At 35.0% G+C, this 13,889-nt stretch overlaps 1 protein-coding gene across 11 annotated transcripts in view; it reads left to right on the forward strand.

The window, feature by feature from the left end:
* ADAMTS19 (ADAM metallopeptidase with thrombospondin type 1 motif 19) overlaps window positions 1-8,480 on the forward strand; it is a 278,386-nt gene extending 269,906 nt beyond the window's left edge. For all 11 annotated transcript variants that reach the window (XM_047416876.1, XM_047416878.1, XM_047416877.1 and 8 more), the window contains 2 exons: window positions 4,729-4,906; window positions 6,864-8,480. In XM_047416876.1, the coding sequence (XP_047272832.1) occupies window positions 4,729-4,906; window positions 6,864-7,015 (330 nt within the window). In that variant the 3' untranslated portion in view covers window positions 7,016-8,480. The remainder of the gene's footprint in view (window positions 1-4,728; window positions 4,907-6,863) is intronic.
* The last annotated feature ends 5,409 nt before the right edge of the window (window positions 8,481-13,889 follow it).

Raw genomic sequence — 13,889 nt, forward strand, 5'->3', positions numbered from 1 at the left:
TCCTTCTATAATAGCTGGAAATTATAATAAAGCTTACACTGAACTGGAAATATTCAAATCCTGTAGAAGTTTAAGAGAAAAAGTCAGGTTTAAAGGACATAACATCCTAGTTTGTTGTTCTTTGATCTGCTATTTGCAGAAAGCTAAGAATTCATCAGATACAAAGATAATATTTTGCAGAAATATATACAGAGTAAAACTTAGAAAGTTATGTTATCTGTAGATTCATGTTCATGACATGCACATAAAATTCCATTATTCTGCAGTAAGCTATTGTCATAACAGAAATATAGGCTTCATTATTGAACATGACATACAAACAACTCTAACATAATTTACCATGCAAATAGTAATACATAATTTACCACATAAGTAGTACCATGATACTACTTACAGACAAGAAGCAATACAAAGGGTCTATGTTAAATACAGAACATGTACTTTTGGCCAGTAATTTCCAAACTCAGACCGCACAGCATAATCAGCTAAATACTTTTACTAAAAATGCAGATTCCCAGATCTCACATGAATTTATTGACTAAGAAATTCTACGTCTTAAAATCCATCATTGTCTTTAAAGAAAAATCTCTCCTGTCATTCTGAAGTGTACACTCAACATATGAATATATGGTTTAATTTATAAATATTGCATAAATATGCATAGGTAGTTAGGATAATGTGGAAGCTTTCATGGAGAAGCTGGATTTGAGATAGTGTTGTTGTTTTTTTGTTTTGTTTTGTTTTGTTTTGTTTTGTTTTGTTTTGTTTTGTTTGAGACAGAGTCTCACTCTGTCACCCAGGCTGGAGTGCAGTGGCATGATCTTGGCTCACTGCAACCTCCGCCTCTTGGATTCAAGCAATTCTCCTGTCTCATCCTCCCCAATAGCTAGAATTACAGGCCTGCACCACCACACCTAGCTAATTTTTGTATTTTTAGTAGAGATGGGGTTTCGCCATGTTGGACAGGCTGGTCTAGAACTCCTGGCCTCAAGTGACTGCCGGCCTCAGCCTCCCAAAGTGCTGGAATTACAGGTGTGAGCCACCACACCCAGCCTAAGATACAATTTTGTAAAAAGACATGGCATTTAGGAAAGGAGTATTACTCTGAGCACAACTGTAGAGGTAGAAATAGAAATTGCATGGAAATGATTAGTTTATAAAATAACAAATTGTTTTTAATAGGATGGAGTCAAATACAAAGTTAAAGAAGTAAACACATGCCAGCCTGGATATAGTGGGATACTGGGCTTTATCTTGTAGGCAATGGTAAACTCAATAACCAAAGATTTTTGTCCAAGGAGCATATATATGTAAATAAATTTTGAAGGAATGCATTTTCAATTAATATGTGCCATTCATTGGTAGGCTGAGGACTAAAAACAAATCATACAATAGTACATTAGATTTGAGATAATGAGGATTTGTGCAGAATGCTTCTTGTGCTAAGAAAAATAAGAAAAGAGATGAGCCCAATGATGATCGTAAAGGAAGAATTGACAGCAAAGAGAATGCAATACTAATAGTGACTTAGGAAAATACAGGGGAAAAAAGTATTACAAATGATATGTCTGTATACTTAAAAGATGACAATCAGAAAATATTTACCAATTTGTAATCAGAATAGAATACACCAAGATAATTCATTTAAATAATTCTAATTGTATTAATAAACCCTTTAAGCAAAATATTCTTTATCTTTTTACATAGAAAATAAAATGGCTAGTAAATAAATCATTATTTTCAGAAACACAAGCACATTTCCCCTCTTACATATAGTTTTGATACCATAAAATAACGGTATTTTCTCAGACAAATTAGCATCAGACTATTTGTGTCAAAAAACAAATTTAGTGATATATGTATGAAACCAAGAGACTTCCCTGGTAAAAATTGTTACACATCAAATATGTTCTTTGCAAAATATTTTACAAATGAAAATAACATTTAGTTGAAATGCAAGAAATCGGTTAAAAGTGCACTTGATTAATAAAAGCCGTATATGACATACCCACAGCCAACATCATACTGAATGGGAAAAAGTTGAATGCATTTCCCCAAAACTGGAACAAGATAAGGATACCCACTCACCACTCCTCAACATAGCCCTGGAAGTCCTGGCCAGAGCAATCAGGCAAGAGAAAGAAATAAAACATCCAAATTTTAAAAGGGGAAGTCAAATTATCTGTGTTTGCTGATAATAAGTTTGTATACCTAGAAAACTCTAAAGACTCCTTCAAAAGACTCCTAGACTTGATAAATGGCATCAGTGAAGTTTCAGGATACAAAATCAATGTAGAAGCATGTCTATACACAAATAGCATTCAAACTGAGAATGAAATCAAGAAGACGGTCCCATTTACAATAACCACACACACAAAAGAATTACTTAGGAATACGTTTAACTAAGAAGGTGCAAGACCTCTACAAGGAGAGCTGCAAAACACTGATGAAAGAAATAAGTGACACAAACAAAAGGAAGAACATCCCATGCTCATATATTATAAGAATCAATATCATTAAAATGACCATACTACCCAAAGCAATCTAGAGATTCAGCACAAATCCTATCAAATTATCAATGTCATTTTTCACAGAATTAGGGAAAAAAAATCCTGAAATTCATACAGAACTCCAAAATAGCCTGAATAGCTGAAGCAATCCTAAGTAAAGAACAAAGCTGGAGCCATCACATTACCTGACTTTATGCTACAAGGCTATAGTAACGAAAATAGCATGGTACTGGTACAAATATAGATACACAGATCAAGGGAACAGACAAAAGAACTCAGAAACAAAACCACATACCTATAGCCAACTGATCTTCAACAGAGTCAACAAAAAAATGCAATGAGGAAAGGACAACCCTATTCAATAAATGATGCTGGAAAAATTGGATAGCCATATGCAGAACAATGAAACTGGACCCCTATCTCTCACCATATACAAAAATTTACTCAAGGTGGATTAAAGACTTGAACATAAGACCTGAAAGTTAAAATCCTAGAAGAAAACCAAAGAAAATGCTTTTGGACTTTGGCATATGCAAGGAATGTATGAGTAAGACCTTAAAAACAAATGCAACAAAAACAAAAAGGCACAAATGGGACTTAAGTAAATGAAAGAGCTTCTGCACAGCAAAAGAAATAATCAGCAGAGTATACAGAAAACTAACTGAATGGGAGAAAATATTTTCAAACTATGCATCTGACAAGGACTAATACTCAGAATCTGCAAGGAACTCAAACAACTCAACAAACAAAAAAACAACTAGCCCCATTAAAAAGTGGGCAAAGGACATGAACACACATTCCTCAGGAGAGACACACAAGCAACCCACAAACATATAAAAAATGCTTAACATCACTAATCGTCCAAGAAATGCAAATTAAAACCAAAATGAGATACCATCTCATACCAGTCAGAATGGCTACTATCAAAAAGACAAAAAACAACAGATGTTGGTGAGGTTGGAGAGAAAAGGGAATACTTATACATTGTTAGTGAAAATGTAAATAAACACAACTACTATAGAAAACAGTATGGAGGGTTCTCAAACACCTAAAAATAGAACTACCATTTGACTCAGCAGTCCCACTATTGGGTATCTATCCAAAGGAAACAAAATCCTTGTATCAAAAAGACACCTCCACTCATGTTTATCACAGCACTATTCATATTAGCAAAGTTATGGAATCAATCAAAGTGTCCACCAACAGATAACTGGATAAAGCAAGTGTGTGCGTGTGTGTGTGTGTGTGTGTGTGTGTGTGTGTGTGTGTGTGTGTGTAATAATATGCAGCCAAAAAAGAATGAAATTATGTATTTCACAGCAACATGAATGGAGCTGGAGGCCATTATCCTAAGTGAAATAACTCAGAAACAGAAAATCAAATATTGCATGTTCTTACTTGTAAGTGGGAACTAAACAATGGGCCCACGTGGACATAGAGAAAGAGAGAAAATAGACATTGAGGTCTCCAAAAGCAGAGAGTTGAAAATTTAGGTACTTGGTACAGTGTTCACTGTCTGAGTGGTGGGTATACTAGAAGCCCAAACCTTACCATTTTGCTATATATCTATCCCCTGAATCTATAAAAATAAAAAAGAGAAAAAAAGTACCTTTTACCTGAGAAATTCAGATTATCAAATATTTTTATTAGCATAATACTAACATCATCTAATCTACCAAGAAAAAGCAATTACTTTAATAACATATCTGGCTAAGACATCTTGATATAATTTATAAACATTTTAAGGCCAGAGAAAATAAGGCAGATGAGTATATTTAAAGACTGTAACAAGGATCCAGCTCTAAAAGTAGACATGTGCTAACTTCTGAACATCGATGATTAAATTAAATAATAATAAATCAATTATTTGTTTGCAAACCATGTGTTAGACCTTGGAAAGCTGTCTGCTCAAGCATTACTGGTGTCATTCACTCTCTTTCTCTTCAAGTCATACTGTACCTTTTTCTTTATCCTTCTTTACTCTTATGTCCTTTTCATTACCCAAAACTCTGTCTCAGATCAGCCAGAGGTTCTCAAAGGCATTGTGCCCAATTTATGAGCATCAATGTTTCTGACCCATGTTTTGCATTGACTGTGGATGTTGCAGCTCATATTTAATTTTAAGAAACATTTAGAGAATGTTCCCACACCCTAGAAAATAATAACAGCAAAAAATAAAAATAAAAAAGAACCTAAACAAACCTTGTATTTCTCCTAGTGCTCAATTACCTGTGGCAAAGGAATGCAGTCCCGTGTAATCCAATGCATGCATAAGATCACAGGAAGACATGGAAATGAATGTTTTTCCTCAGAAAAACCTGCAGCATACAGGCCATGCCATCTTCAACCCTGCAATGAGAAAATTAATGTAAATACCATAACATCACCCAGACTGGGTAAGCAGACAAAAAAAAAAGATGCTTTTGAAAAACATAGAAATGCTTATGGCTTCTTGTATTTTGTATATTACTTTAAACCTTGATAGTTGTAAATCTATACTGATTATTTTGGTTTGCACTAAATTGGATCCATTTAAATATGATTTCGTCCAAATGGTCAGGTGGGTAAAAAAGTCCTAAAAACTTAAACTGCTTTGATTCCCAAAGTTGTCCAATCAGAGCCAGGTCCAGGAAATAATGCCACACCACCCCAGGTCTTTTTGTAACCAAAATTTAGACTCGGATCAATCTCATGGCAGAACTATCAATTAAGTTAATATCTGTGGAAAGATGAGATTGTAGTGTAAGCCTTAGATTTCTCCATGGTTGATAGCCTTCCTTGTGATCTGGGTATAAATTATTCTTTGGAGGGACACAGACTAAAAAATGTCTTTCAAGAAGAATGGGTGCATGGATCTACACCATTAAACAAGAAGTTCTATTTTCTTTTTAAGTTTTGAGAATATGATACTAAATAAAAAATACATTCTAGTAATATTGACTATATTGATATTTACATTGTTTTATGTTATGAAATGCCTTCATATATATATCCTCAATTTCTGTTATTTAATCTAACCCATAATTGAGAATTAGACTACATATTTTAAGTAGATATAGCCTACACTTGCATAACAAATACTAATGAATGATTTAGCATTTACATCTTGACTATTAGTAGCATTTAACAGCACTCTTGCCTCATTGTCAGTGGGTTAATTTATATTTAATACCTTTGGTTTTAACCTGTGCATATAATCTCCAGGGGAACAATTGGAATCATACAAAATAATATTACCAAAATGTAAGAAGATAAATTATCATGTGTATTTTTCCAGGCATAAGACTCAATCAAATGTGAAAGCTTGGTTTCTTCGAAATACAAAAATTCTCTTTTTAGGGCCAAATAATTAACTAGCATTCCTAAGAAATAATGAGTTCAAGGTGAATAACACTAATTAAGACAAAAAGTTAAGCAATTCTAGAGCAGATGTACTAAATCCATTTATTCAATAGCAGTATAATTCCTTTCTCCAACAATTAGTTGGAGTCCTTGAAATATTACATGGCAGAAAATAATGGATTAAAAGAAAAAATTTGTTAAAATTGCATTTTCTCTATTTATTATTCCTTGAAGGTATACCCCAAAATACAGAAGCACAATGGTTAGGAAAATCTAAGGTGTTTAAAAATAGAATAATTATATTAGAATACGATTCATTCTCATATGCAAAAGAAATAATTGTAGCAGCAGTGACTTTCATTATGCATTCCAGAACACACTGTTTTACAAAAAGGGAGGCCAAGTCTACATGACCAAATATTCTATACCAACTTCTCATTTCAAACACTTCAACTATTGCTGTAAATCTCAGTCGCTTGTGATGATATGCATTAATTTTTATAGAAGCCTGAAATCACAGCTCCAGGTAATCCATTTAGATGTGTCTGTTATCTGGGGAAACTAGGAATATGAAATAACTGTGAGCATATTTTTACTTTGCTGTTTCCTTGTAATTTCAACCCTAATAATAGTATTTATTAATTTGTATTCACATAAAGGTAGATATATTGAGCACATTTATTTTTCTTTTTAATTTTCTCTACTAAAATTCAAAAGCAACTTAAATGCAAGCTATGAAACTGAAGCTTAAAAGTACAACACATTGAACCTGGGAATTATATCTTTAATAGGCCTAAAAACATTTATAAGTAAAAATATTATTCATTCTTTACTTTTTAATCATAGGAGGTGTGTATGTGTGTGTATCTCTTTCTTGTTTAAATTCCAGAAGGTAATATAAATGAACCAAAGAGAGTGTACAAAATCCGCCCCACTTAAACGCTTGAAGTTGGTTTTTACTGACATATATGATATCTGCATGGAGTGAATTCACTATGTTCTGTTTCACAGCTGCTCTGACTTTCAAGTGCCTGGGAGATCAGTGGCCAGTGTACTGCCGAGTGATACGTGAAAAGAACCTATGTCAGGACATGCGGTGGTATCAGCGCTGCTGTGAAACATGCAGGGACTTCTATGCCCAAAAGCTGCAGCAGAAGAGTTGACCTCTAGCAGGCTGGCTGGATCACAGCTCTTGGCAATTACATTATTTATAAACACACACACTAGCATGTTTTTCAGACCAAATATTATCAGATTACATATAATTTAATCAAATTAATTTATTTTTTTGCCTGCCAAACATCCAATGTGGTGCTTGTTTTGGTTACACAAACATTTTGATTTATACTATATGGCTTCATAAATAATTTTATATGAATGAATTAGTTGGATCCAGTAATATAATAAAAAGAAAAAGGAAAAAAATAGATCATTATACTTAAAACAAGTTTTCGTTGTTTGTTAGGGCTATCTCTAAGGTGCTACTCTCTCCCCACCAATAACATTGAATTATCCAGAATGTATACTGACTTAGCATAATAGTTTAGGTGTATATGAAGAGAAACTATTTTTGTTTTTTGGTGTCCTGCTGCAGAATTAGCCCATTTTCTGTCACCTGCAGGAGATGTGTAAACATAATGAACCTCATGCTGTTGAACAGGTTTTTAGAGAATGTATTATGAATTTGGTTCAGATTTATAGACATCCATAGGAAAAATTCTGCTGTAATTATAACCTTATTTTGATATGGAAAAGAAAAGTCAAAATAGAGACTTTGATCATGTTCATGAACATGTACTTGAACACAAGTATTGTAACAATGAAACACTGTAATGATTTACACTGAATCACAATTGCACTGTTGATATAGTGTAGAGAAATCGTTAGAAATGGTGACATCTTACAAAAAATGTGTATTATTTTAACATGTTATCACTAGATTTTAGCTTTTTTTAAATATTTTTAACAAAGAAAACATTGATCCACCCATTTCCCTGTATCTTTTTAGCAGATTTATTAAAGAGTATAGTACTTAGCCTCACGAATCATAATTAGAAAATTTACTAGTATTTCTCAGCCTTTTCCCTAGGAACAAGGAAAAACAGAAAGCATATAATACGGTGGTCGTTTCATTGTGTTTTTCTTCCTTTTAAAAATTAAAAAGTTTTACAATTATGTGAAACGTTCAAAAGCCAGCTTAAAATTTTTCTTGTGAGAAAATATTATACATGATTCACATGATTTCTTAGATTTTTCAATAAAATATGTAAAACTTCCCACTGAGAGACAATTCTTCATAGACTTGTCACATATCCACATGTCTGATGAACAAAGGTACTGTCTACTTTTGTTCTGGAGTATCTTCTAGAGGATGTTTATAGAGTGAACTGCCTTGGAAGATAGTATGTCTCTTGGGAGCAAAGGGCAAACATACTTCTCATTATAAAAGTTTCAGGTTCCCTAAAATTGGGGTTTCTTTACTATAAGACAATCCAATGTATGTTCTGAGGTCACCTGGCTCTCTTCATGTCACCCTTTGGGAAATGGGGCTCAACGAGCCAGTACAGGAAAAGCTGATTCCCTGGCTACTACTATCGCTGTGAGTAATAAAGTCCTTTGTGTCTAATGCAGGAGTCTCATGTCTTCTACCCTGAAATCATAACAGGCTAACTTGATAAGTTGCAAGTAAGGTAAAACCTCAAAAGCTTCACAGTTCTTTACATTTCTGTCATTAATATTTTTCGCCTTCATTTTAATAAATGTGTTTTAATATCGAGGTCACCTTTTTCCTAGATTGACCATTCCTATGTAGGTCCTTTAATTTAATTGCTGAGATATAGGGTTAACCAATATCAACAAATTTTATGTGAAATAGTAGACGAATGGGAGAAGGAAAAATTGAAATAGTAAGTTCCATCCCTTGACTCCTGAATCCATAAATCTAGGTAGAAATAGCACCATATATTGGTTGATAGTTCAGAAAATATACATCTTAGAGAACATTATCTCAGACTCCAAAGTGTTTTCATCCACCTGGTAGGAGACTAAACCTTTCTTAAAAAGACATATCATTCTGTTAGGCCATCTGCTTCGGGGTGATGGGGAGCATGGTACTATGAGAGATTTACACAACAGTGAGCCCCTGTCCACACTTTATTTGCTGTCACACAAGTTCCTTGAACAAAAACAATATTGTATGAAATGCCCTAACAGTGAGTGAGACATTTGTTTAGTCCACAGATGGTATTTTGGCAGAAGCATCACAAACTGGGAAAGCAAATATATTTTCAGATCAACTGACTACTTCTGCAAGAACAAGCCATGGCCTCTTCTGTGATAGGAGTCTAATGTAATCAACCTACAACCAAGATGGTGTGTTGCTTCTCCCATAGAAGGGTACCATAATGTCTTCTCTGCTATTATTAGGTGGAACCCTCAGCAGTGACTGTAGATAGATTGACCTTGGTGAAAATAAGTTCATGTTGCTTAGCTCATGCATAATCTCCACTCCTGCCACCATTATCTCTTTATTTTTGAGGGTATTGGTCGAGGACAGAGGTGCATGGAAGAGACTGATGAACATTAAAAGAACATGTCATCTTATCCACCTGATGATTGATCAGTTTCTCCTGAGTATGCTGTTTGGTGAACATTCAAATGAAATATAAGTATATAAACAATTCAAGGAGTTCTATCCCCATTCTTTTTCCTCAGAACTTCATTATTACCAGTTTTTATCATGCTCCTTTCAAGTTCCTACCAAACCCATTAGACACAGCCCATAAATTAGTGCATATCCATACTTCTGGCTGTTTTTTCTTCCAGTCAAAATAAACAGCCAGATGCACAGCTTGAATTCCTTCTGCGAGGATTTTTCTTACTAATCATTCAGGTCACCTCTGTGCAGGGTTGCAGAGCTACAGCTGTCTACTCCTGGTTATGCTAGCATATTGTGAAGAACCATTAGTAAACCAGGACCAAATGTTTTCTGTCTCAGTCAATTCGTTATAATAAATTCTCTATGAGGCTGTGTGGGTTGAGAGAGTGGAGGCAATGTAGCAGTAGTAGGACCCTTAACCATCAGATCCAATTATTCAAGGAACTTATGCCTTCAGCTTGTGCTCAAGACAAATCTTGTACCCTTGATGATGGAGTGATATTCTGCACAGGTAACCTGGGTGGTGTCAGACACCACCCAGGTTATAATGAGCAGCTCAAGTTACATGGGAATTTGGTGACCTGTGGTCAAGCATTAAACATTTACTAGCATTTCAATGCAAACCAGAAATAGTTTTTCAAAACAGAAATAATTATTTGTAAAAAGGACACAGCTTTCTCCAAAGTTATTAAGACCTCACTGTGATTCACCAATAGGATCCTGCCAGAAGCTCCATATAGGATCCTTATGTGCCACTGATTCTTTAAATACCATCATATCTGCTGTGCCATATTGCCTAAATAGCAGAGTAGCTTCTATTGCAACCTGAACTGATTATAGATTCTCTCCTTATTCTGTGCACTACATGAAACTGGAAGTCTTTGGGATTACTCAGTAATAATGTGTAAAGTAGCATTCTAAAATGAGTTATACATTGTCACAGCCCAAATGGGATGTGTGTCTCTTAGGAAGGGCTAGAGGCAGGAATTTGTCCTTTACTTAGAAGGGATATCTCAACATGTCACTGAATTCCTAGAAATTTTACCAAGCTGTGAAATTCCGGAAGTTTTTGAGGAATCATTCTCAAAGAGAACTGGCCTCCCCTTCATTCAGGGAGTTGTGGGTCTGAGAATCATCTCTCCAATGAAAACTGAAAAAGGGAATGCAATTATCTGGTATGGTGATTCATATCCAACTTGTGTTCACTAAGTATAGAGATATAATGGTTATATAAATCAAGAAACACTTTAGTAGAATGCCCACATATTTCAGTCCTAAGGACTCCCTGGTCAATTGGCCAATACCAAAAATTTTTGCAGGTCAAACCGTTACTGTCTTAGTCTGTTTGGACTGCTATACCAAAGTACCTTAGACTGGCTAATTTATAAACAGAAATGTATTGCTCATGGTTCTGGTAGTTGGGAAGTCCAAGATCAAGCACCAGCAGATTTGGTGTCTGGCAAGGACATGTTCATCATAAATGGTGCCTTCGTTTTGTCCTGACATGGCAGAAGGGGTAAGGATGCTCGCTAAAGACTTTTGTAAGGGGTTACTTCCATTCATGAGAGCTCTGCCTTGTGATTTAATCACGTCCTTAAGGCTCTACCTCTTAGTGCTATCACTAAGTGGGTATTAAGTTTCAACACATTAATTTTGTGGGGGTGGCAGGGGGAACCAACATTCAGACCATAGCAGTTCCCTTTACTACATTGAATCCGCTGCTCCTTATAATATCCATGCACGCATGGTCTTTGGAAGTTAAATCCTGTCACTTGGTTCCTGGCCATATGGAACTTATTATACTCATTAAATTCTATAAGATCAGTTCTATGGCAGCATTTCCCAACGTTATTCCTGGCTTCCAGAGAATAGCCACTACAGAGTTCTTTAAGGATTCCAACGCTGCCTTCACCACTGTATCTTTCAAAGCCTTGATTAGGGAATGCCCTCTGGGCCCTCTTGGGGAATATATTTAACAGGTGGATGAACATAACTATCTTATTAAAACCAATCTTCCTAAATGTATACCTTTCTCTATACTACATTGTAGCAAAGAAGTCTGGCATCTCAACTTTGCTCAATATGAACCACTATTGGGCCCAGTTTTCAGTCAAACTGTTAGAATTACTCTCAGTCACATCAACTAACACGTTAAATCCAGAATCTCTACTTACCACACACATATCAAAAAAAATTCAAGCTAATCCAAGATTGTATATCTTCCATCGTAATCTAACATCCATAAGAAACATCCCCACACAGTTTATATGACTTTGCAAAATCTCATAATTCTTTTAGAACCTTAAAGTACAACCTCATCAGTCACAGTTTTTACCTGGTCCCCTTGGATCTTCCAGGACTTAAGTCTGAGTATGGATTTAGAAGACATGACAGATAGGGAAAGGTCCTGAGGAAAATCAGCAGTACAATTAAAAAAGGTTTGCCGTGTTGAGGTGCCTCAACACAGTAAAGACTGTGTGTGTCAAACCCATAGTTAACATCATATTAAACAGAGAAAAGCTGAAAACTTTTCATCTAAAAATGGTAACAATCAAGGAAGACTACACCACTCTTATTCAACATAGTGCTGAGAATCACAGCCAGAGAAATTACAGAAGAGAAAGAAACAAAGGGCATGCAAATTAGAAAGGAAGAAGTAAAATTTGGCCCTGTTTGCAGAGGAGATGATCTTATGTATTAAAAAAACCTAAACACTCTTAGAACTGATAAACAAATTCAGTAAAATCTCAGGATACAAAATCAATATACAAAAATCAATAGTGCTTCTACATGCTAACAATGACAACCTGGAAAAGACATCAAGAAAGCAATCCCATTTACATTAGCTCCAAAAAATAAAAATAAAATAAAATACCTGGGAGTAAATTTAACCAATGAAGTAAACAATCTCTACACATAAAACAAACTATAAAACACTGATGAAAGAAATTGAATAAGACACATACAAATGGAAAGGCATCCCATGGCCATGAACTGGAAAAAAATAATCTTGTTAAAATGACCATACTCCCCCAAACAATCTACAGATTCAATGAAATCGTTATCAAAGTGGCAATGACAGTCTTCACAGAAATACAAAAGGCAATTCTAAAATTTGTATGAAACCATAAAAGGCTTCCATGCTTATTGCAGCACTATTTACAATAGTCAAGATATGGAATCAACCCAAGTATCTATCAACAGATGTATACATAAAGAAAATGTGGTATATATAGACAATGGAATACAGCTCAGCCATAAAAAAGAATAAAATCCTATCATTTGCAGCAACATAGATGAGCCTAGAGGACATTATATTACATAAAATAAGCAAGAAACAGAAAGTTAAACACTACATGCCTCACTCAAATGCAGAAGCTAAAATATGTTGATCTCATAGAAGTAAAGAGTAGAACAGAGGTTGCCAGAGGCTGGGAATGGTAGGGGAAAAGGGGATAGAGAGAGATTTATTAAAGGAAGCAAAATTACAGCTAGATAGGAGGAATAACCTCTAGTGTTCTATATCACTGTAGGATGACCATAGTTAACATTAATATATATTTTCAAACAGCTAGAAGAAAAAGGATATTGAACATTCCCAACAGAAAGAAATGATCAGTGTTTGAGATACTGGATATGCTAATTACCTTGATCTGATAACTATACGTTGTAAGTACTGAAACATCACTATGTACCCCAAAAATATGTAAATATGTGGCTATATATATATGTGTGTGTGTGTGTGTAACTATTATGTATCAATTTTTAAGATAAAAATATTTAAAGGTTTTATTTCAGAGCAGTCACAGAAGCTTTTTCTGCTCCCAACTTAGACCTTGAACTTTAAATCTCATCTTATCATTTTCTTTCTCTAAGTTCTTCAGCACATTTAGAAGCAATGAATCAACTCCACAGTCATTATTCTCTTTGTTTCTGTGAAACGGTTCTAATGCAGCAGATACTTGGTAACTCTGCACATTGCCTCTGTAGCCACTTAGATTATACAGGCACTAGGGGTGACTATAAGTGAGAATTTAAATAACTGTTGAATCACTGCATGCCATGGATGGCCAGGCTCCCACTTACCCCTGGTAATAGGGTCATTCATGTCTTTAAATCTAGTCAGATAAGAGAACCAGTTTCAAATTTTATTTTTAAAGTTCTATTCCCCGGAAACACTTCTGGCTGGTTCAGTCAGCAGAGCAGTTTCAGAGGGTTATAGGATAATGTAGTTGAGCTCACACAACTGTGAGAGGAGATGGGAAACTGAAGGGCTGTAAGAGGAGTTGGAGGATTAGGGGAGTCACCAGCCAATCAATCCAAGGAGCAGGCACAGCCAGCTAAGAAAAACTCTGAAAGGGTAGTCTGCAAGGAAATCT

This window comes from Homo sapiens, chromosome 5 (assembly GCF_000001405.40).
Source record: "Homo sapiens chromosome 5, GRCh38.p14 Primary Assembly".
Taxonomy (NCBI): domain Eukaryota; kingdom Metazoa; phylum Chordata; class Mammalia; order Primates; family Hominidae; genus Homo; species Homo sapiens.